Here is a 26,398-nt window from a genome sequence, read left to right as displayed (position 1 = left end):
CAAGATCAACGTGCAAAAATCATTTGAGTTTCTGTATACCACCAATGAATAACCCAAAAAGGAAACCAAGAAAATAATTGATATGGTTTGGCTCTGTGTGCCCACCCAAATCTCATGTTGAATTGTAATGCCAAATGTTGGAGGTGGGGCCTGGTGGGAGGTGTTTGGATCATGGGGATGGTTTCTAATGGTTTAGCATCATTCCCGCAGTGCTGTCTCATGATAGAGTTCTCACAAGATCTGATTGTTTAAAAGTGTGTAGCACCTCCATCTGCTTGTGCTCTTCTTCCTGTTCCAGGCATGTAGGATGTTCGTCCTTCCCCTTCACCTTCCACCACCATTGTAAGTTTCCTGAGGCCTCCCTAGCCAAGCTTCTGTACAGCCTGTGAAACTGTGGTCAATTAAACCTCTTTTCTTTGTAAATTACCTATTCTCAGGTAGTTCTTTATAGCAACGTGAAAAGAGACTAATACAACAAACAATCTACTTACAATAGATCTGAGAATAAAATACCTGGGAATAAATTTAACCAAGAGGTGAAAGACCTGGACACTGAAAACTACAAAAAATTGCTGGCAGAAGTTAAAGAGGAACGAATTAAATGGTAAGACATACCGAGTCCATGGATTAGAAGACTTACTATTGTTAAGATGGCAATACCCAAAGCAGTCTACAGATTCAATGCTATCCCTGTCAAAACTCCAATAGCCTTTCTTTTCTCAGGAATGGAAAAGCCAATATTCAAACCTTTATAGAATTGTAAGGGGCCCCAAATAGCCAAAACAGAATAACAAAGTTGGAGGGCAAACACTTCTTGATTTCAAAACTTACTATAAAGCTACAGTAATCAAAACAGTGTGGTGCTGGCACAAGAATAGACATATGAATGTACTTAATACCACTGAATTGTACACTGAAAATGGTTAAGAGTAAATTTTATCTTACATATATATAGCAACAAAAAATGAAAAAAATCTGCCATACCTATAGGTTTATTTCTGGATTCTCAGTTCTATTCCATTTATCTATATGTCTATTCTTGTGACAGTTCATCTCCAGAATTCTTGCATCTAGTAAAAGTGAGACTCTATACCCGTTAAGTAATTACTGTACATTGCCCACTTTCCCTATCCCCTGGCAATCACAATTCTATTTTCTACCTGTTTAATTTTGACTATTCTAATACCTCATAAAAGTGGAATAATGTAGTATTTGTCTTTTTTGTGACTGGCTTATTTCACTTAGCATAATGTCCTCAAGGTTTATTCATGTTGTAGTATATGTCAGAATGTACTTCCTTTTCAAAGCTGAATAATACTCCGTTTTGTATATCCATTCATCTGTTGATGGACACTTGGGTTGTTTCCATATTTTAGCTATTGTGAATGATGCTGCTGTGAACTTGAGTGTACAAATATCTCTTCAAGACCCTGGTTTTAATTTTTGCGTGTAAGAAAGAGTGAAGCTATATAAAAATAAACCCAGTGCTCTTGCTATAGTCTAGAAAGAGGAATTGCTGTGGTTAGGATCCAGGCTTCCCAATTTTAAGCCTTTAAGGGTTAAAACTAGGACAGCTATTGACCTAGAACATCCTAACACATAATAGGCATTCAATGAAGGGCCGATTGAATAACTTAACTTGAGAAAGGCAATAGGATAGGCTGAAAGTAGCAGCTTGATGATGAATGTTGTGGCTTTCAGAAGCATGGTTACTGATGCCAAGTTATTATTGATACATTAGGATAAATTTAAAACCTAATTCTCGAGGCTACCTGATGCCACTAGCAGAAAACAATCAGTCCTTTCCTAGGATAGATGGTGGGAACCTTTACCACTAAAACATTATTTTCAGACTAAACACAAGGCTTCTAAACCTACTTCCAGATTACAACATCAATAAATAAAAAGATATGAATTTATTGCTGGATTCAACCAACAATTAAACTCCTGTAGTAGTTAAACACACTATCTTATCCTAAATGCCAAAAGTGTTTTCAGGATGAGGAAGATGAAGCAGCATGGGTTTAAAACTTGGTTTTGGTTATTATTATTAAAGCCAATTTATGGGCAGTGCTTTTCTAGAAAAATAAAAACTTTTTTATTCTCAGAACTTTGTTACTTCACTTCACTAATGTGTCAAGTAAGTATTACTGGACCATATCAACTCTTCTTGAAGTATGTACCACACCTTGGTTCTAAGGCATGCAAACAGAAATTCTGTGTAAATAAGAATTACCTGGAAAATAAATAAATATCATTACATCTGGATTAGGCAACAATAGGTGAGTTTCTGTATTTCAGAATTTCTCAGCATGAATCTACAAGTGGGATGTATAGTATATGGCTTCCTATAAGGTTATTTGACTTTTTATTTTTGAGAAAGATTTCTCAAGAGTAGAGCTCCTCAAAACAAATTTTGATAAATACTATTCTGGACGATTAGCATTTTTAGGAGCTGGGAAACTGTGGCCCATGGACCAAATCTATATGCTGCCTGTTTTTGTACAGCCTGCAAGCTAAGAGGAGTTTTTACATTTTTTAATGGTTCAGAAAAAACAGTATATCTTATGACACCTGAAAATTACATAAAATTTAAATTTCAGTGATGAATGCAAATGTATTAGCATACAACTATGCTCATTTGCTCACATATTGCCTATGGCTGCTTTTACACTACAATGGTAGAGTTGAGTAGTTGCAACAGAAATCATATGTGTCACTCTTATTAATTCACACTGCTGCTGAGTGCACTATAAGTCACAGTAATGTAGGTATAACGGGATAGAATTCCAAGTGTACCACCATACCACAATATTTTTTTTTGTTACTAGTCTTACCAATCATGTCAAAACAAAGGAAGGGAATAGTAGACTCTAAATGTCATGTTTTAAAGACGCAGTGAAGTGTGGATTATTTTGCTGTCAAATTAGATGGCAAAGTGTTGTATTTATCATGGAATAACATTAGAGTTGTGCTATAAGAATGTAGTATACATCTGCTTGCTGGACTAAACACTTATCATGATATTCCCAACTCTCAGGAATACAATGGTCAGAAAAATTAAAAAATTTAAAACAATATTTTATTATAACATAACTTATTTACAAAGAAACAGTGAAGGAGACTGTAACCAAAGTGAGTTTCCAAGTGGCTCGTTTGTTAGTCACATGAAGAAAGCCATTTACCACTGGTAGGTTAATTAGATTGTTTGATTGCAAGAGAGAAAAAAATGTGTCTAGAGAAAATTATTTATGACTATTAGGCTTATGGTGAGAACAGTTACTTGAAGAGAAGAAACATCAGTAACAAACTAAAGAATAAGGGCAAATGATTTCAAGTTGTTTTCCTTGACTGGATGAGTCCACAGATCATATTGCTGCTGATCATTTGTTTATTCCTAAAGACAATGCCAAATTTGAGGTGAAATAAGTATTAGACTCTTTATATAGAGAAACTACAGGTGAGATTTATTTTCACAGAAGTTGGGAAAACATTAATTCAGTAAAATCTGAAGTGGAATCTACTAAGATGTGTTATAATGGATGGTGGTAAAAACATCTGGAGCAGGCAAAGGCTTTGGTTGACAAATTTATAAAGGTTGTGAAAGTGTAAGTTGATTAAAGCCTTGGTTTTTCATTGTATTACTCATCCGTAGGTATTTTGAGGAAAATATTTGAATCTATCATGTGATATTGAACCGGTAGAACAACAATGAACTTCATTTGCTCTTGTGGACTTCATTACTTCCAAGAATTTTTGTCTGAAGTATAAGTTGAATACTTAGATTTTCCCCATCAAACAGTAGTTTTATGGCTTAGCAGTGGTAAAGTTTTACTGTGATTTTTGAGCTCAGGGCTGAGATTGCAATTTTTCTGAACAATAAGAACCACCTCAACCAGTATATCAAACACTGAATGGCTTTAGAAATTACCTTTTGCAGCAAACTTGATAGTTGTTTAATAAATTCAACCCAAAATTACAAAGCAAAACAATGCTTAGGATGTGAAACTTATACTGAATTAAAGTCATTTTGACAATTAATTTTTAAATCATAAAAAATGACAAGTAGCTTTATATACTTCCCATGCTAGCAAAAATTGAAACAAGAAACAAGATCTTCAATACTATACCATTTGCAGTAGATATATTTTCCAAGCTCAAACTGCCTTTCCAGTAGAGTTTTTGGGACTTTGATGCAAGTGCAAAGGGAATTTCCATATTTTGAAATTAATTTAACGGTGAAATTGAGGAGCTTCCACCTAACCGTTTAACTAGAAAGTGATTAACCTGCAATGTAATGACATGCTAAAATGAGATTCTGTAAATGCCTTCCAAATGATGAGTATGTTCAATAAAAGTCACATGAGTGGCTCAATATTAGTATTTTATAGTAGTTACTGTGTATAAAAAGATATTTTTAATGATGAAATACATAAAAGCTCATCACAAATTAGCATTAACATATAAACAGTTGCAAATGATTTTTATGATAGGGAACACTAACTATGAATCCCAATTTAGCAAAAATATTATCCCTGCCATTAAAAAAAAAAGTTCAGTTCTTCTCACTAGTAGACAACTATAACAAAAATTTGTACTCAATTTTTATTATATTTTGATTTTCATCAATTAAAAATTTGTGGAAATTTGTTTTCCCTCTTGTTACATAAAAATCTGTACAGTATCTTCAATTTTGCCTGTTGGCCCACAGAGTCCAAAATATTTACTATCACAACTTTTTATTAAGAGACAAGGTCTCTGTCTGTCACTGAGACTTCAGTCCAGTGGTGCGGTCATAGCTCGCTGCAGCCTTGAACTCTTGGGCTTAAGTGATCCTTCTCACCTCAGCCTCCTGAGTAGCTGGGACTACAGGCACATGCAATTGTTTCTATGTTTTGTAGAGATTGGGGGGGTCTCACTTTGTTGCCCAGGCTGGTCTTGAACTCCTGGCTTCAAGTGATCCTCCCATCTTGGCCTCCCAAAGTGTGGGATTATAGGTGTGAGTCACCACACCTAGCCACTATCACACCTCTTGACCCATAAAAAAGCCTTTACAAAAAAGGCTTGCTGAATTCTTAAACAGACCATTGAATTAGAATAGGAAGCCCAGAGCAAAAACATGCATAGATGGATGAACCTGGATTTAGTAAAAGGTGGTACTGCAGTTTAGAGAGGAAAGAAAAGTCTATTCAGATGAAAAAACATAAACTTTACCCTACCTCACATCATCATGAAAACAATTCAGGGTGGATTATAAATCTATGTGTGAAAAACTAAATAATAAAACTTTGACAGATAATATAAAAAGAATGTCTTTATGACTTTGAAATATAGAAAAGTTTCTTGAACAGAATACAAAAAGTATTAACCATAATTGATAACTGATAAATTATCAATTTTATATATAATTGATAAATTATCGATTATATATAAGAAATTATATATAAAAGAAAATTGATAAATTTTACTATATTATAAGATCCAGTTATCAAAATATACCATGAAGAGAATAAAGAGGCAAGTGACAGTGTGATATAGTTTGGATGTTTGTCCCTCCAAATATCATGTTGAATTGTGATCCCCAATGTTAAAGGTGGGTCCTAGTAGGAGGTGTTTGGGTCATGGGGGAGAATTCCTCATGAAGGGCTTGATGTCCTCCCCCGTGGTAATGAGTGCATTCTTACTCTGTTAGTTCACATGGAATCTGGCTGTTTAAAAGAATCTAAGACCTCCCTCTTCTCTTTCCTGTTCTTTCTGGTCATGTGATACACCTCGCTCTTTACCTTCCAGCATGATTGTAAGCTTCGTGAGGCCTTCAACAGAAACAGCCACCAGCACCACACTTCCTGTACAGCCTACAGAATCATGAGTCAAAATAAACTTTTCTTTATAAATTACCCCCTCTTAGGTATTCCTTTACAGCAATGAAAACAGCCTACTACACAGTGCTTTAGATTTAAATTGACAAATCTGTGACAGCAAAAGTTTCAGTAAGTGGCCCTTGTAGGTATCAAGTTCCATTTCAAAAGGATAGCAATCACAAAGCTCAAGGTTTACAGAAAAGAGAGCTAACAATCTTACCTTTCCTAGTTAGTAGAATTTATAATAAATCTAGAATACAAATTCTCAAATATGAAACAATTTATAAAATGAGCAATGACTTGTTCTTATTGCTATTAAGCAGTACTTTGAAAAGAACACAGTAGATGGTACTAGAACTAAGATGTTCAAACATTTTACAAATAAATTATGCATTTTTCATTCATATTATACCAACCACAACATTTTAAAGGCACTAGTTCTATTAGATACAAAATTAAACCTGATTAAATTGAAAAGAAAACACATTACAATGCAATTATCCATGTGGCTGTCATTTAGAGCCCTGGCTCCACTGAAATAATCATTAGAATAGTAAATAAACCTCAACAAAACCAGTGTGCTATTTTACATTAGTAAATGCGTTAGCTTTATTGTAGCTGGTGGGCAAAACAATTGATGAAACTCCTGGAGGATGACACATTTCACAGTGAGATGTTTTTCCATCCTTTATCTGATAAATATAGGAACCATCAGCAGTTTAAATGTGGCCAGTTTAGGTCAATAAAAACTATGAATATACATTTTTTAAGTTAGTATTTCAAATTCAGTAATAGAATCCAACAGACAGATGTTAATGTGCCTCAATCAAATTCTTCTATGGCTTTTATATATAATTGCTGAAATAATCATCTGATGACTAGAGTATTAGTCATAACAATTTTTCTCATGTAACCTAATCCTTCATTTTAAAAAGAGTTTTTAAAAATTGGCCAGCGCTGTGGCTCAGGCCTGTAATCATAGCATTTTGGGAGGCTGAGGCGGGTGGATCATCTGAGGTCAGGAGTTCGAGAACGGCCTGGCCAACATGGTAAAGCCCCATCTTTACTAAAAATACAAAAATTAGCCGGGTGTGGTGGTGCATGCCTGTAATCCCAGCTACTCAGCAGGCTGAGGCAGGAGAATCACTTGAACCTGGGAGCTGAAGGTTGCAGTGAGCTGAGATTTTGCCATTGCACTCCAGCCTGGGCAACAAAAGCTAAACTCCATCTCCAAAAAAATTAATTAAAAAAAATGTTCTTCGCACAGGGCAATTTTGGAACTTATCCCACTGTCTTTACTTCATAGTATGTTATGTACCTAATATTTAATTCATTTAGTCATTCAATAAACAAATTATTGTTTGTTTTGGAGGATTCCAAAAAAATATTTTGTCAGATATTAGAAGACAGAAGACTCATATAATATTCACAACCTATTTATTATGTACCAAGAACTATACTAAGAATTTTGTGTGTATTATCTCTCAATTTTGTTTGGAAAAACTATTGTAATGATTTAGGGATGAAGAAAGTAAGCCTTAGATAGGTTAACTCAAAAACATCTAATGCTGGGGTCCGAGATGAATGTTCTTTCACAGGCAGTTGAAACCAAAGTCTAAATTTGGAAAAATTTTGCTTACCTATTAGGGAAGACATGTCATATATTTTAAGACTTCACTGATACATAAAACAAACAGTGGCTAAAAATATAACTTGATTATGACAAGGAATCTAAAACCAATTGAATAAAATTAGTTAAAATAGTTGATCACTAAAATGTATGAGTGAGCCTAAAATCATATATTAATCCAATGAAAACATTAAATTATGTTAACTGTTCCCATTGATAGATATGGTATGTCTATTTGTTCAAGATTTGTTTTATGTCCTTAGATAAGACTTTAGAATTATCATATGGTCCTAAAATTTTGTTAAATGTTTTCTTAGTTATTTACTACTTTTTAATCCTATGGTAATGGAAGTTTTTCCAATATCCATTTCCAATGAGTCATAAAACCTATTGGTATTTGTATATTCATCCAGTATTCAGCCATTTTGATACATTTTGTCAGTAGTTCTTGGAGTTCTTCACTGAGTTTTCCAAGCATGTCATCTGCAAATGGAGATAATTTCCCCCTTTTTCAATATTTATATTGAGTATTTTAGTTTTTTTATTTCATTAGCTGGAACCTCCAAAAAAAAAAAAAAAAAAGGTCAAATATACGGTAGACATTTACCATCTGGAGAAAAGCCTATTCAACATCTGAACCATTTCTTTGTTGAGGAATTTTTTTTTGCCCTGTGAATCGGTTAAGCTTCTCACTATATGAGCAGAAAAAGTCAAATGCTTTACCTTCCCAACCCCCTTTGAGCTAGGATATTGGCAATTGAATTAGAGTCAGCAAGTCAGATGTGCCTGCTAAGGAGTCTGAGATAATAAACCCAAGATGCAGGTACAATGAAGAATTAAATTTTTGACAGTGGCACAGCATTCTTCTTCCAGGGAGTAACACTGCCTGTGCCACCATCTGCAATTGAATAGGGAATGCTTCCCTGCAATCTGTGGAATATGTCCTCAGTCTCAGAGCAGCAGTGTCCCTCCAGACTGATTCTGTAGCATGAATTCTATGTAATTCTGGCTGGCTGAACTCCCCTTTTTCCTGTCAGTTTTCCGTGCCCGGTTCGCCAGCCTCGCTGGCAATTCCACGAGCCACGTGGAATATTCTTTAAAAAAAAAATCATTGAGGTGAAATTACATAAAATTAATTATTTTCAAGTGAAGAATTCAGTGGAATTGATTCTACTCACATGTTGTTCAACTGCTTCCTCTATGGCATCTCCAATACTCCAAAGTAAAACCCTCTTACCAATGAAGCAGTTTTTCCACACTGTCCACTCGCCCCAGTTCCTGCAAACCACCAATATGCATTCTGTCTCTACAGATTTATCTATTCTGGATATTTTATTATAAACACATTTTTAATTATAAATATATGATAGTTGTACATATTTATGAGGTACATGTGATTTTTTGATATAGACATACAATGTGTAATTATCAAATCAGGGTAATTGATTTATCCAATACCTCAAGCATTTATTTCTTTTGGTTAGTAACATTCCAATTCCACTTTTAGTTATTTTGAAACATACAATAAATTATTGTTAATTATAGTTGCCCTACAAATCTTATTCCTTCTGTCTAACTGTATTTTTGGACCAATTAACCATCCCTAGTATAGTCACCCTACTGATCTATCAACACTAGGTCTTATTTCCTGTATCATACTGTATGTTTGTACCCATTATTCAACCTATTTTCATTCCCCCACATCTTTCTGGCCTCTGGTAACCAATCTACGTCATGACATCTTTTTTAGCTCTCACATACGAAGGAGAACATGTGCTATTTGTGTTTCTGTGCTTGGCTTATTACACTTAACATAATAACCTTCAGTTCCATCTATGTTGCTGCAAATGACAGGATTTCATTTTATTTTAAGGCTGGATAATATTCCATTGTGTATATATACTACATTTTCTTTAAGTATTCATCCACTGATAGGCACTTCGGTTGATTCCATATTTTGGCTATTGTGAATAGTGCTGCAGTAATCATGGGAGTGCAGATATCTATTTGATTTATTGATTTCCTTTCTTTTGGATATACACTCAGTAGTGGAATTGCCAGAACATCTGATAGTTCTATTTTTAGTTTTCTGAGGAAGCTTCATACAGTTTTCTATAGTGGCGGTACTAATTTACAGTCCCACCAACAATGTACAGGTGTTCCCCTTTTTCCACATCCTCGTTAGCATTGATTATTCCCTGTGTTTTTGATAAAAGCCATTCTAACTATGGTGAGATGGTAGCTCCTTGTGGTTTTGATTTACATTTCTCTGATTAGTGATGCTGAGCATTTTTTCATAAACTTATTGGCCATTTTTATGTCTTCTTTTGAGAAATGTCAGACCTTTTACCCATTTTAATCATATTATTCGGGGGGTTTTGCTATTGAGTTGTTTGAGCTCCTTATATATTTCCTTGTTAGACAGGTAGTTTGCAAATACTTTCTCCCACTCTGGAGGTTGTCTCTTTACTTTGCTGATTATTATCTTTGTTGTCCAGAAGCTTGTTAGCTTGATGTGATCCCATTTGTCCATTTTTGCCTTGCTTGTCTCTAGTATATTTGAGATAAGGTAGTGCGATGCTTCCAGCTTTGTTCTTTTTGATCGGGATTGCTTTGGCTACTTGGGGTCTTTGGTGGATCCATATATATTGTAGGATTATTTTTTTCTATTTTTGTGAAGAATGACATTGGTATTTTGATAGAGATTTCATTGAATATGTAAATTGCTTTAGGCAGTTTGGACATTTAAACAATACTGTTTCTTTCAACCCACAAACATGGATTATCTTTCCATTTTTTCATTGTCCTCTTCAATTTCTTACAGCAATGTTTTATAGTTTTAATTGTAGAGGTCTTTCATTTCTTTAAGTTTATTCCTAGGTATTTTACTTTTTTGTAGTTATTGTAAATGGGATCACTCTCTTGGTTGCTTTTTCAGATTGTTTGCTGCTGGCAAATAGAAATGCGACTGATATATCTATGTTGATTTTGCATACTGCAACTTTACTGAATTTATCAGTTCTAACAGATTTTTTTTCTTTGGTGGAGACTTCAAGCTTTTTTAAGATGTCATCTGCAAACAGGGCTAATTTGTCATCTTCCTTTACAATTTACATACCCTTTATTTCTTTCTCTGATTGATTGCTCTGGCTAGGGCTTCTAGTACTATGTTGAACAAAAGTGATGAAAGTAGGCATCCTTGTCTTGTTCCAGATCTTAGAGGAAAAGCTTTCAGTTATTCCTTTTTAGTATACTAGCTGTGGATTTTTAGTATATGGCTTTATCATGCTGAGGTATGTTACTTCTGTACTCAGGTTGTTTTTATCATGAAGTAATATTAAATTTTATCAAAGGCTTTTTTTGGAATGTATTGAAATGATCATGTGGGTTTTGTCCTTTATTCTTTTGATGTGATGTATTATAGTTATTTGTCTATTTTAAACTGTTGTCGCATTTCTGGAATGAATCTCATTGATTACACTGAATGATTGTTTTAATGTGTTGTTAAATTTGGTTTGCTAGTATTTTGTTGAGTATTTTTGCATCTACATTGATCAGTGATACTGGCCTACAGTTTTCTTTGTCTGGTTTTAGTATCAGGGTGAGGTTTGCCTCATAGAATGAGCTTGGAAGTATTCCTTCTTTTTTGGTTTTTTATATTTTTTAAGAATTTGGGTAGAATTGTTATTAACTCCTCTTTAAATGTTTTGTATAATTAAGCAGTGGAGCTATCAGGTCCTGGGCTTTTCTTTCATGAGATTTTTAAAAAATTATGTCTTCTATCTTGTTATTTATTATTGGCCTATTCAGGTTTTGGATTTCTTCATGGTTCAGTCTTTATAGGTTGTATGTGTTTAGAAATGTATCCATTTCTTCTAGGTTTTCCTATTTATTGGCATATAGTTGCTCAAAATAGACTCTAATAATCCTTTGAACTTCTGTGGTATCCAGTTGTCATGTCTCCTTTCTCAAACCTGATTTCATTTATTTGGATCATCTCACCTTTTTTTTTTTCTTAGTTTGGTTAAAGGTTTGTCAATTTTGTTTATCTTTCCAAAAAAACCCAACTTTTTGTTTTGCTGACTTTCTGTCTCAACTGTATTTATTTTTGCTTTGATCTTTATTATTTATTTCCTTCTATTAGTGTTGGGTTTGGTTTCCTCTTGTTTTCTAGTTCTTTAAGATGCATTGTTAGATTTTTGAAGTCTTTCTACTTTTTTGATTTGGGCATTTATTGTTATAAACTTCCCTCAGTACTAACTTTTGCTGTATCCCATAGGTTTTGGTATGTTGTTTTTCCATTCTCATTTGTTTCACAAATTTTTACATTTTCTTTCATAATTTCTCCATTGACCCAATGGTCATTTATGAGCATATTGTTTAATTTCCATGTGTTTGTACAGTGTCTAAAGTTCCTTTTGTTATTGGTTTCTGGTTTTATTCCGTTGTGATTAGAAAAGATATTTGATATAATTTCACTTATTTTGAGTTTTCTAAGACTTTTTTTTATGGCCTAACGTGGTCTATTCATGTTTGAAAAGAATTTGTATTCTGCAGCAGTTGAGTGAAAGGTTCTGCAAATTTCTATTAGGTCCATTTGGTCTAAAGTGCAGGTTATATCTGATGTTTCTTTGTTGATTTTTTGTCTAGAAGATCTGTGCAATACTTAAAGTGAGATCTTGAAGTCTCCTGCTATTGTTGTATTGGGGGTCTGTTTTTTAACTGTAATATTTACTTTGTATATCTTGGTGCTCCAGTGTTGGGTGCATATATATTTATAATTGTTATATCTTCTTGTTGAATTGACCCCTTTATATAGTGACTTTCTTTGTCTCTTTTTACCTCTTTAATTTTAGTTTATTTTATCTGATATAAGTATAGCTACTCCTGGTCTTTTTTGCTTCCATTTGCATGGAATACCTCTTTCCACCAATTTATTTTCAGCCTATATGTATCTTTATAGGTGAAGCAAGTTTCTTATAGGCAGCTTATGGTTGGGTGTTGTTTTTTTGATTTATTCAGCCACTCTGTGTCCTTTGATTGGAGGATTTAGTTCATTTACATTTATTCATTGTTATTATTGGTAGTTAAGGACTTACTCTTGCCATTTTGTTACATGATTTATGGTTGTTTTGTTGGTCCTCCCTTTCTTCCTTCCTTCCTGTCTTCCTTTGTGTAAAAGTGATTTTCTCTGGTAATATGTTTTAATTTCTTGCTTTTAATTTTTTGTGTATCTATCGTAAGTTTTTGTTTTGTCATTATTATGAGGCTTGCAAATAACATCTTTAACCAATTACTTTAAACTGATGACAACTTAACTCTGATTAGAAAGAAAACACAAAAATACAAACAAAAAGAAAACTAAAAAACTTTACACTTGTAACTTCAGTTCTTTTGCTTTTTGTCTTTTTGTTGTCTCTGTATCTTTTTATATTGTCTATCTCTTAAAAAGTTTCTGTAGTTATTATTTTTGATAGATTTCTCTTTATGTTTTCCTACTGAAGATAAGTGGTTTACACACTGCAATCACAGTGTCAGGGTATTCCGTATTTGTCTGTGTATTAACTATTACCAGTGCCTTTTAACCTTCAGGTGATTTCTTGTTGCTCATTAACATCCTTTTTTTTCTTTTTCAGATTGAAGAACTCCTTTTATCGTGTCTTGTAAAACAGGTCTGGTGTTGACAAAAATCCCTCAGCTCTTTTTTGTTTCGGAAAGTCTTTATTTCTTCTTCATGTTTGAATGATAATTTTGCTGAACATATTCTAGGTAGAAAGTTTTTTTTTTTCCTTCAGTACTTCAATATGTCATGCCACTTCTTCCTTGCCTGTAAGGTTTTCGCTAAGAAGCATACTGCTAGATGAATTGAAGACACTGATGCATTCTTCACTGTGCCAATTGCATTTCTCAGCTCCAGAATTTCTGCTTGATTCTTTTTATTTCAATCTGTTTGTTAAATTTATCTGATAGAATTCTGAATTCCTTCTTTGTGTTATCTTGAATATCTTTGAGTTTCCTCAACACAGCTATTTTGAATTCTTTGTCTGAAAGGTTACTCTGTTTCCCCAGGATTGATCCCTGGTACCTTATTTAGTTCATTTGGTGAGGTCATGTTTTCATGGATGGTGTTGATGCTGGTAGATGTTCTTCAGTGTCTTGGCATTGAAGAGTTCGGTATTTATTGTAGTCTTCACTGTCTGGGCTTGTTTATACCTGTCCTTCTTGGGAAGGCTTTCCAGATATTTGAAAGGACTTGGATGTTGTGATCTAGGCTATATCTGCTTTAGGGGACACCCCAAGTCCAGCAACACTGCGGTTCTTGCAGACTCATAGGGTTCCCACCTTGATGGTTTGGACAAGATTTTCTGGATTACCAGATAGACTCTTTTTCCCTTCCCTTACTTTCTCCCAAACAAATGGAGTCTCTCTCTGTTCTGAGCCACCTAAACCTGGGTGGAGTGACAAAAACACCCTGTGACCATTACCACTATGATGCACTAGGTCAGACTTGAAGCCAGCACAGGACTAGGCCTTGCCCAAGCCCTGCTGTAACCACTCCCTGACTACTGTCTATGTTTTCTCAAGGCCCTGGGGCTCTACAATCAGCAGGTAGCAAAGCCAGCCTGGCGGTGTCCTTTCCTTCAGAGTGGCAAGTTCCCCCAGACCCCAGGTGGGTCACGCAGTGCAGTCCAGGAGTCAGGGACTAGAGTAAAAATCCTTAGAAGTCTACCTGGTCTTCTACTGCACTGCAGCTGAGCTGCCTCTCAAACCACAAGAAGCAGTCCTTCTCACTCTTCCTTCCCTTTTACAAAGGCAGATGATATGGTTTGGGTCTATGTCCCTGCCTAAATCTCATATCAAACTGTAATCCCCAATGTTAGAGATGGGGCCTGGTGGGAGGTGATTGGATCATGGGGGTGGATTTCCCCTTTGGTGCTATTCTTGTGATAGTGAGTGACTTATTGCAAAATCTGGTTGTTTAAAAGAATGTGGCACCTCCCACCTCACTCTCTTCCTCCTGCTGCAGCCATGTAAGATGTGCCTGCTTCCCCTTTGCCTTCTGCCATAATCGAAAGTTTCCTGAGGCTTCCACAGCCATGTTTCTTGTAGAGCCTGTGGAACTATAAGCCAATTAAACCTCTTCTCTTTATAAATTACCCAATCTCAGGCATTTCTTTACAGCAATGCAAGAACAGACTAAAACAACAGAGGAGCCTCACTTCATGGCCACCACCACCACAGGTTGCAGGGAGTACTGCTAGACTACTGCTGATGTTTCCTTAAGGCCCAAGGGCTCTTAAGTCAGATTGTGGTGAATGCTGTCTGGCCTGGGACTCACTCTTCAGGGCAATAGGCTCCCCTCTAGCTCAGGGAAGGTCCAGAGATGCTGTACAAGAGTCAAGTCCTAGAACTTGCTTGGTGCTCTGTGCCCCTGTGGCCAAGCTGGTACCTGAAGCCAGCAAGTTTCAAGGGCTCACTCAAGGTATCTCTGCTGGTTAATCAGGGCCTAAGGGCTCTTCAGTTAGTAGGCGATTAATACTGCTAGGACTGGGTCCTTCTCTTCAAAGCAATGGTTTCCCTTCTGTCACAGGGTGTGTCTAGAAATGTCATCTGGGAGCTAGGGCCTGGAATGAGGGCCTCACCACTCTAACTGGTGCCCTATCCTACTGTTGGTCAGCTGGTATCTAAGATGCAAGACAAAATTCTCCCCGCTCTTCCCTCTCTTCTCTTCAAGCCAAAGGAAGGGATATCTTTTGGAGCCATGAACTGTGCAGCCTGGGGTTAGGGAAGAGGTGATGTCAGCACTCACTTAGCCCCTGCAGCTGGTGTTTCAGTAGGTTGTATGTCCCCCACGTCCACTGTCTCTGGGCCCAGTTCAGCCCTAGGACTTGCCTGAGAGTTGCAGTCCTTATGGCCTAGACTGCCTTTCAAGTATACTTAGAGACCCATAGCACTTTAGCCCATGGTGGCAAGGTTTGCAGGAACTCAAATTCTGACCACTGGGATCAGCAATTCCTCCTTGGCTAGGGCTGGTTTAAATGTTCCCTATGTGGGCAGGCATCAGCTGAGTTTGGTCAAATTTTTCTTTCTGCTCTAACAGTACAGCAGTGAGTTTATTGCCTCACAAGTGGTGAGCTCTCCCTTCCCAAGCACCCAGAGAAGCTCTACACAGCACACCACTGCCACTGCAAGGGGGTGGGGGTGTCAGCGATTCAAGACTGTTTTTTCTACCTCTTCAGCACCTCTTGGTGATAGGAAATTAAAAACAGGTACTGTGAGTGTTCACCTGATTTTTTGGTTCTTATAAAGTTTTTTTTTTTTTTTAATGCCTGTGTGTAGATGTTAAATCGGTGTCCTTGCAGGAGGGACAATCAGTAAAGCTTTCTGTTCCACCATCTTTCTCTGCTTCTCTCTTTATTTTTTGGTTTCTGTGAAAGCACATTTTTGCATCGATAGTGTTCAATTTAGTGTTCCTGTGGTAGAACAATTGTTGGAGGGCTCTATTTGGCCATCTTTCTCTGCCTTTCCTGGGGATTTTATATAATATATATATATATATATATATATATATACACACACACACACACACACACACACACACACATTAAAATATATATATATAAAATATATATATTCTGTGTGTGTGTGTGTGTCTGTGTATAATCCTGGTTTGTCAGATGTTTCGTGTCTGGCTTCTTTTACATAACGTAAGATTCTCAAGATTCACCTACTTTATAGCATGTATCAGTACTTCCTCCTTTTTATGGCTGAATAATATTCTGTTGTGTGTATACCATTTTTTATTTATCTACTTGTTTGTTGATGGACACTTGGGTTGTTTCCACCTTTTGCTGTTGTGAATAGTGCTGCTACGAGCATGAGTGTAAGTGTACTCTTTAGATTACATTTTTGATTACTGTTTCAAATACTCTGAGTTAAATACACTTCGTATTGAAATTGTGGAGTAGTATGGTAATTCCATACTTGATTTGTTAAGGAACCACCACCAAACTATTTTCCACAGTGACCAGATCATTTTACTTTACCATCAGCAATGGGCAAGGTTTCTAATTCCTCTACATCCTTACCAGCATTGGTCATATTCCTTATTATTATGGCCATTATAGAGGACATGATGTGGAACCTCAGTGTGGTTTTGATTCACATTTTCCTAATGATGGACATCTTTTTATGTTGTTGTTTATCATTTCTATATCTTCTTTGAATAAATATCTATTTAAATATTTTGCCATTTAAAAGGTTGGATTGTTTATCCTTTTTGTTGTTAAGTTGTAAGCACTTTTACGTATCCTGGATCCTAGTCTCTTGTCAGATGTAAGATTTGCAAATATTATCTCCCACTTTGTAGATGGCTTTTTCACTTTATGATAATGTCCTGTGATGCACAAAAAAATTTTAATTTTGATAAATTCCAACTTATTTTTTCTTTTTTGCTTGTGTTTTCAATGTCATATCTAAGAATATACTGCCAAATCCAAGGCACTGAATATTTATTGCTATGTTTTCTCCTAATAGTTTAAAAGTCTTAGATATTATATTTATGTCATTGATCCAATATCCTATTGTCCCATCATATTTTGTTGGAGACACTATTCTTTTCTCATTAAATCGTCTTGGTATCCTTACCAAAAATCAGTCAGTGAGTGATACCACAGGCACAGGCAAAAAAGGAAATATAAAGGCAAATTGAACTACATCAAAATTTAACATTTTTTGCATCAGAAGACAGTATCAACAGAATAAAAAGGCAACAAGAATGGGAGAAAGTACTTGAAAATCATATATCTAATAAAGGATTAATACCTAGAATATATAATGAACTCCTACAACTCAACAACAACAAAAACAACCTGATTCAAAATGGGCAAAGGACTTGAATAGACATTTCTCCAAAGAAAATATACAAATGTCCAACAAGCACAGAAAAACTTGCTCAACATCACTAATCATTGGGGAAGTCCAAATCAAAATCACCTGGTACTATCTCACACACATTAGCAGAGAAAATATTTAAAAACATAACCAAAAAATAACAAGTATTGGTGAGAATTTGGGGAAATTGAAATATGTGCACTATTGGTGGGAATGTAAAATTGTAATGGTCCGACAGGTTCTTTTTGCCCTCTGCCCAGCTAGAGCCAATTTACCAACAGTGGAATTGTGATAGAGAAAGAGTTTAATAAATGCAAAGATAGCTAAGCAGAAGACCAGAGTTTATTATTCAAGTCAGTCTTTCCAGAAATTCAGAGGCCAGGGTTTTTTAAGGATAGTTTGGTGCAAAGGGGCCTAGGAGATAAAGAATAGTGTTTGGTTGGGTTGGCAATGAAATCATAGGGGATTGAAGTGGGTTCTTACTGCTGTCATTAGTTTTTGGGTGGGATCACAAAACTAGTTGAGCCAGTTTATTGGTTTTAGTGGCACAAGCTTGTCCATCAGAATGCAGGGTCTAAAAAGTATCTTGAGCAGCAGCAGTCTTAGGTTTTACAATAATGAGGTTATCCTAGGAGCAACTGGGGAGGTTAGGAATCTTGTGGCCTCTGGCTTCATGATTCCTGAGTCATAATTCCTAATCTTGTGGCTAATTTGTTTGTTTTAGGGCTGTTTTCATCTCTGTTTCAGTTAAACTATAAACTAAATACCTCCCATAGTTAGCTCGTCCTATGCCTAGGAATGAACAAGGGCAGCTTAGAGTTTAAAAGCGAGATGGAATCAGTTAGGTCAGATTTTTTTCATTGTCATAATTTTTCTATGTCAGATTTTTCTCACTGTCATTTTTATAAAAGTGGTTTCAAAATGGTACACCTTTTGTGGAAAACAGTGTGGTGGTTCCTTAAAAAACTAAAAATAGAATTATCTTATGATCCAACGATTCCTATAGCTAGGTATATACTCAAATGAATTAAAAGCAGAGTCTTGAAATCTTGAAGAGATATTAATACACCCATGTTCACAGCAGCATTATTCATGATTGCTAAAATGTGAAAGCAACAAAGTGTCCATCAATAGATCAATGGATAAGCAAAATATGCTATATGTAATAACAGGAAAAGAATTGTGAGCATGACGTGAGCAAGATGGCAGAATAGTAGGTCCCAGCCCCTGCCTCCCCATAGAAACACTGATTTAATAACCACCTATGGTGAAAATACCTTTACAAGAGCTCATGCATCAGGTGATAGGTTCCAGCACCTGGTGGATAATAGAAGTGAGAAGACATTAAAAAGAGTGAGAACAGTGGCTTAACTTTACCCATGTTATCCTTCCTCAAGTTGGCATGAGAGATCTTCTCAGCCCTGCTTTTCTCCTGTAGGGGAAAAAAGAGTGTAAAGGGAGTGTCAAACCTTCCCAGCTTTTTAGGATGCCACCCAAGAAGCCTGTTTCTTTCACACTTCACCCAGAACACTGAGAGAATAGGCATGGCTAGATCACCTAGGAGTATCTAAGATCAAAGTAAAGGAGCAGGGGGTCTCAAAATTAGCACAGGGATCTCAACAGCTAACCTGTGGATCTCAACAGCTAACCTGTGGCCTACAGTAGCAGGTCCACCTGCTCATGAATCCTTGCAGTGTGTCTGCTTGTCTGCCCACAATCCCTGGCACCTGGCCTGACAGCAGACACTGCCAATCAGCCCATCTAGAATCTCTGATCAGGGTGACTAGTAAAAGGCTTTCCCTGCCAAAGCCAGTCTGTAAAGATGCAATATGGTAACTGCTTTTTCAAATATGCAGATACCAACATGAGGCAAGAATCATAAAGAATTGGGGAAACAATGGCACTGAAGGAACAAAATAAACTTCCAGTAGCAGAGCCTAAAGAAATAGAGATTGACTAACTTCCTTAAAAAGAACTCAAAATAATCATCTTAATGTAGTTCACTGAGTTGCAAGAGAACACAGATGGACAACTAAACAAAATAAAGAAAATAATACATAAACAAAATTAGAAGTTCAACAAAGAAATAGAAACCATAAAAAAGAACCAAATGGAAATTCTTGAGCTGAAGAATATGACAACTGAACTAAACAACTCAATAGAGAGCTTTAACATCAGACCTGATCAAGCAGAAAAATCAATGTACTTGAAGATAGGTTAAACTATAAACTAAATTCCTCCCATAGTTAGCTTGTACTATGCCTAGGACATTTGAAATTGAGTCAGAAAAGCAAGAAGGAAAAGAATGAAAAAAAGTGAAGAGAGCCTATGGGACTTATGGGACACCAGCAAGGAAATCAATATATGCATATGGGAGTTTCCAAAGGAGAAGATAAAGACAAAGTAAGCTTATTTAAAGAAGTACTCACTGAAGGCCAGATGTGGTGGCTAACACCTGTAATCCTATCACTTTGAGAGGCCAAGGTAGGTGGATTGCTTGAGCCCAGGAGTTCATGGAAACATGGCAAAACCCCATCTTAACAAACAAACAAAAACCAACTAGAAGTTTTCCAGTTGTGATGTTGTACATCTGTAGTCCCAGCTACTTGGGAGGCTGAGGTGGGCAGATTGCTTGATCCCAGGAGGGCAAGGCTGCAATGAGCCATGATCGCATCACTGTACTCCAGTCTGGGCAAAAGAGTGAGACCCTGTTTAAAAGAAAAAAAAAAGTTATTGAAAATTTCCCAAATCTGTGAAAGAAAATGAACATCCAGGTTCATGAAACCCAAAAGATCCAAAATATGTTGAACCTAAAGGAATTTACACAGAAAAACAATATAATTAAACTGTCAAACATAAAATACAAAGAAATAATTTTGAAAGCAGCAAGAGAAAGAAAATGGTGACTCATTGCATACATGTAACCCTGCAAAAGGCTGTGAGAGGATTTCTCAGCAGAAACCTTGCAAGACAGAAAAAAGTGGGATGATATATTCAAAATGCTGGAGGGGAAAAAACAACAAAAAAATCTTTCAACCAAGAATACTGTACCCAATAATACTATCCTTTAAAAATGAAGGAGTGGTGGGGCATGGTGGCTCATGCCTGTAATCCCAGCACCTTGCGGGAGGCCAATGCAGGCAGATTGCCTGGGGTCAGGAGTTCAAGACCAGTCTGGCCAACATGATGAAACCCTGTCTCTACTAAAAATACAAAAAAATTGCCAGGTGTGGTGGCGTCCACCTGTAATCCCAGCTACTCAGTAGGCTGAGAGAAGGGAATTGCTTGAACTAGGGAGATGGAGGTTGCAGTTAGCCGAGATTGCGCCACTGCACTGCAGCTGGGGTGACAGAGCAAGACTCCATCTCAAAAATAACAAAACGAAGGAGTGAGAAAAACTTTCTCAGATAAACAAAAGCTTAGGGAGTTCTTCATCACTAGATTACCTTATGAGAAGTGCTAAAGAAAGATAGTTCTTCAAGTTGAAATGAAAAGGTACTCAGCAGCAACACAGATATGAAAATATAAATCTCACTGCTAAAGATATATAGATAAATACATAAAAATGTAATAATGTAATAGCACATTAATCATTTCTGATCCTACTATAAAAATTAAAAGACAAAAGTAATAAGAATAAATACAACCACAAATTTATTGATGGATACACAATGCAAAATAAAATAAATTCTGACATCAATAATATAAGGTTGAGGGGAGGGAAAGAAGAGCGTCAGATTTTTGTATGCAATTGAAGTTAAGTTGTTATCAGCGTAAAACAGACAGCTATAACTGTAAGTTGTTTTATGCAAGCTGTATAGTAACCACAAACCTATAGTACATACAAAAATGGTAAACAATAAAAGAATCAAAGAATACCACTATCAAAAAACATCAAATATATAAGGAGGACAACAAGAGAGGAAGAGAGGAATAAAAGAAATACAAAACAGACAGAAAACAATGAACAAAATGGCAGCAGTAAATCCTTACCTATTAATAATTACATTAAATGCAAATGGACTAAACTGAATCAAAAGACAGAGTGGCTGAATGGATTAAAAAACAAGATTCAACTATATGCTGTGGCAAGAAACTTTCTCTAGTTTTAAGGACCTACATAGGCTGAAAGTGAAGGGGTGGACCAAGTTGTTTCATGTGTCAACCTAAATAACAGAAAGAGAGACTTTCTTTAAAAATGATATTTACTGGCCGGGCGCAGTGGCTCATGCCTGTAATCCCAGCACTTTGGGAGGCCAAGGCAGGTGGATCACGAGGTCAGGAGATCGAGACCATCCTGGCTAACACGGTGAAACCCTGTCTCTACTAAAAATACAAAAAAAATTAGCCGGATGTGGTGGCGGGTACCTGTAGTCCCAGCTACTCTGGAGTCTGAGGCAGGAGAATGTCATGAACTTGGGAGGCGGAGCTTGCAGTGAGCTGAGATCGTGCAACACTGCACTCCAGCCTGGGCACAGAGCGAGACTCTGTCTCAAAAAAAAAAAAAAAAAGATATTTATTTGGGAATGGGCATTGCAATGGAAATATGTGTGCCATAGTAACCTATATGCATGTTTAGGAGGTTACGGAAGACAAAGGTTTTTAAAGGAAAAATGATGAGGATTACATAAGTTTTTGAATCAATTATTTTTGACTGCAAGGATCAATAATAAGGGTGGTATCAGTTTGATGTTGGACAAGCAGTTACTGGGCAGATGTCCTTGTACGAGTATTTTTTGTATAAGATTGTGATGGCTTTTGTGCAAGGCTGCAATTTTTGCAGTCCTTTATGCCAATTCCTATTATCAGGGATTTATGCATGAGAACCCTCCTTTTATGGCCTTCCCTGGCTCCAGTTGTCGGGATTTTTTTGTTTTTGTTTTTGAGGCAGAGTTTCACTCTCGTTGCCCAGACTGGGGTGCAATGGTGCAATCTCGGCTCACTGCAACCTCCACCTCTCAGGTTCAATTGATTCTCCTGCCTCAGCCTCCTGAGTAGCTGAGAGTAGCACCTGCCACCATGCCCGGCTAATTTTTTGTATTTTTAGTCGAGATGGGGTTTCACCCTCTTGGCCAAGCTGGTCTCAAACTCCTGACCTCAGGTGATCCACCCGCCTCGGCCTCCCAAAGTTGTGGGATTAGAGGCGTGAGCCACTGCGCCCATCCTTGTTAGGGCTTTTAATGTTAGTATCTCCATTTTGATTCTGGCAACTTTTCAAAGTGCCCCCCTAATCCCCCACCTTTTCTTTAGAGACAGGATCTCACTCTGTCACCTAGGCTGGAGTACAGTGGTGTGATCATAGCTCACTGTAACCTTGAACTCATGAGCTCTAGTGATCCTCCATTTCAGCTCCCTAAGTAGCTAGGACTGCAGATGGGCACCACCATACTTGGCTAATTTGTTTTACTTTTTTGTAGAGATGGGATTTTGCTGTGTTGCCCAGGCTGGTCTCAAACTCCTGGGCTCAAGTGATCCTCCTGTCTCAGCCTCCTGAAGAGCTGGGATTATAGATGTGAGCCACTATGTCCAGTCCTGCTTTTTATCATTATCTTTCACTAAAAGCATTGCTGATTAATCATCCTGTGGTTAGGTTTTGTTATCTCTTGATGCCAAGATAGACTTCTCCCAATTTGTTGCTCTGGTCCCATGTTCTAGGTAGTAGCTGGCAACTATGAGTCAGTGTCAATGCTCTTTAAGCCATATTTAAGCAACAAGGGAGGTTTGGAGGAAGGGACTCTCAGGCTAAGTTTACATGGAGTTCATTGTTAAGTTCAATTTTCGTCTGTTCCGTAGGCATTGCTACCATCTCAAAGTACAGGGCCAGCATTATTGTGTCAGAAGTTGTACATCTGTAGAAATTTAACAAGTATTGGTAGTTTTTAGCCATGAACCTAGGCTTAAAGGCAACCAATTGAATAAAGGAAATGACCATAGGGAACTAGGTGGGATCTAATATAACCATGTGGCCTGTTTTCTTATTTTGTATATATGGGTCTCAGTTTCCTCAGAGGAATTTATCCAGGTAAAGCGTGTAGTATCCATAGCACATACATTTTCTTATTTAACCAACAGATAATACAGAGCAATTTTACCATCTAGTAGCCCATGATTGGGTTGGATTAGAGCAGAAAGTGAGCAACAGTTGTATTAGGAATGTTGCTAAAGTTACCCACTAAGGGGACTAAGGGATCTCAGGTCAGGTTCTATCAAATTACCAGTGCAATGTACTGTCTGGGAAATTTTAATTACACTATTTTCCTGCTGAGTGTAAAAGGTAGGCATTAAGAGGGTAAGAGTCTCATAAGATGGAGTCCTGTTCTGATGTCTTGGGAAAAGCTGTCTACAGTATGAAGCCATCAACTTATTATCCTGGTTTGCAGCTTTAATGTCTTTGGTTATGGTAATGGATGGGTTTGGTGAGCTTATCTGCATGGCTCATACATCAGGCAAAAATTTGTCCCCTAAAATTCACCTAGGTTCAGCACATAGGGCTTCGGGAACAGAGCAGTTCCCATTTTTTAGTGGTCCTATAGAAAAGAGTTGAATTGGAGAATAACTCAGGATCTAGTCTAGAATAACTCAGGATCTAGTCTGGTCTACAGGTAGATAATAAAACTTGAAAGCAATGCATAGAGCTACAATCTGATAATGGGAGTAATATACTTTTTCTTTAGAGACATAACTTTTCTCTCTATAGTCATCCCAATTTTTATTAAAGCTAATAAGTAAAAAAAATGATTTATAAAGTACATTTAATTTTATCACATTTAGGTCTGGTCATTTACATAAGTGCAGTAAGAATAGTGGTTGGCCACAGAGAAATCTCAGATTTATAAATCTCTCAAGATTTGGAAACCAAACTAAGGCAGACTTTAGATTTCTTCTACAGTCTTAAGGTTCCTGGGCCTGCCAGGAAGTGAAAATTTTTACTCACTATAAAGCTAAAAACCCTTGGAGCTAGGCATTCTATGCACATTCTCAAATAGATATTCCAGCCAAAGCCTTGGAAATACAACTATTTGTTCCAGTTGTGTCCTGTTATAAAGAGAGTAGATTCTTATTGAACTTGTGCAAATAGTTATCCTTCCATAAAGAAGAGTACTCATGAATGCTTTCTGAATTTTGGAGGGATCAAGTAGAGTGCAAAAGTAAATGTTTTCACTTTTGTTTATAAAAGTATACTTTACCAAATTACTATAAACTATAGATAATTTAAGAGAAAACATTCCTTTAAATCTGGAAAGCAAAATAGTTAAGTAAAGAATCAAAAATTTTCAAATAAAAGTCTTAAAACATTGTCTTAATCAGTTATTCTATTTCATGTAATTAATTTTCATTTGGCTTGGAATTGATTAGCAGTTTCACAAATTTGCCAGTTTTTTCATTACGGTTCTGAAAATTTATATTTAGTCTATTGATCTTAAAGTTATTAGAAAAATGTATTTAGGAATACTTGTTAGAGTCTTTTCAATGAATCTTATTGCAAATGCTTTTAGAGAAGATACAAAATTGTGGATGACAGAGATTTAAAATAGCCACGATTAAAAATCTGATGGAAGTTTATTCTAATCAGCAATTGACAATAAAATTTGGTTATTTTTGTGGCATACAACATAACCAGAATTATGACTGATGACATATTAGAATTCTAAGAGTTTTATATAATTTTGGAACATTCATATAAATAACATACCTATAAATAAAACTGAAAGAAGATCTAGCATCACTTATCAATTGACAATGCTTCCCATACAATTTACCAAACAAGCCTAATTATTATAAGAGGACACATCTGTCTATTGAGGCTCACCAGGGGGCCTAGGTTAATTCTAGGTCAAAAATACTTAATTTAGAATTTTGTTACAAAGGAAGCTCATCAAAGATGTGAAAGGTTTAAAACAGCTGATCAAAACAGAATCACAGGTCACTGTGACCCATAATCATGTCATCACTGTGACCTATAATCATTCATTTGAGCACAGTGATCAAAAGACTTCAAAAGCAATACGGAAAAGTCACTTCGATGTAAAAAATGCCTTAACCCTTTCAAAACTCAGTTTTCCTAAGCAATAAAAACAAACTAGTTAAAGATGACACATAAACCCAGGGAATTATTGATAAAACATAAAATCTTTTTTTAGGCCAGTTTTCAAAAATGTGAACAAAAATATTTTTCAGTGTGATTGTTTCTCCTTATGGGAAGCAATTTAGGTAACCCAGAAGTCAAATCTAATAAAAGACACTTAAATTTAATCAGATACAGGAAGAGTGTGTGCCCAAGGTTATGAGTGTATATCAAATCACAGAGGAAAGTAAACAAGAAAATTAATACCTTGAGCATGGAAATACATGGGTCTTGTAAAAGCATGGGGAATTTTCTGAGTATGTGAAATAATTCAGACATATCTGGAAAAGCCAAGAGTACAGAATCAAGTTATACTGGAGCAAAACATTGCTCTAAAAATGTAAAGCTACAGTTCAGAATATGGTTGAAAATTTTAAGAAACGTTTCAGAATTAAAAATCAAAACCTCTCCTAATTTTTTACTAAGAGCAGATTAATACCTCAGGAAAACCTTTTTCTACCATAGAAGACCAAATTTTTAATTTTATATCACTGTGTATTTATAGCATGCACACATAAATCAAAACTAATCTTTAGAAAGACTCACAATTTCCTTTTAATTATAGCCAGCACACACAAATGTTTTTCCTTTCTTTTTTTTTTCGGGGGGATGGAGTTTTGCTCTTGCTGTTCAGGCTGGAGTGCAATGGTGTGATCTTGGCTCACCACAACCTCCACCTCTCGGGTTCAAGCAATTCTCCTGTCTCAGCCTCCAGAGTAGCTGGGATTACAGGCATGCGCCACCATGCCCAGCTAACTTTTCTTGTATTTTTAGTAGAGATATGGTTTCTCCATGTTGGTCAGGCTGGTCTCAAATTCCGGACCTCAGGTGATCCTCCCACCTCAGCTTCCCAAAGTGCTGGGATTACAGGCGTGTGACCACCACGCC

General features: G+C 36.4%; 1 long non-coding RNA gene across 2 annotated transcripts in view; it reads left to right on the top strand.

The window, feature by feature from the left end:
- Positions 1–383: 383 nt before the first annotated feature.
- LOC105370832 (uncharacterized) overlaps positions 384–26,398 on the top strand; it is a 126,090-nt gene continuing 100,075 nt past the window's right edge. For both annotated transcript variants that reach the window (XR_007064652.1, XR_002957754.1), the window contains exon 1: positions 384–604. This is a non-coding gene — a long non-coding RNA (uncharacterized LOC105370832). The remainder of the gene's footprint in view (positions 605–26,398) is intronic.

The sequence above is a fragment of the Homo sapiens genome, chromosome 15 (assembly GCF_000001405.40).
Source record: "Homo sapiens chromosome 15, GRCh38.p14 Primary Assembly".
In the NCBI taxonomy this organism is placed as follows: Eukaryota; Metazoa; Chordata; class Mammalia; order Primates; family Hominidae; genus Homo; species Homo sapiens.
This window is presented reverse-complemented; position numbering and strand designations above follow the sequence as displayed.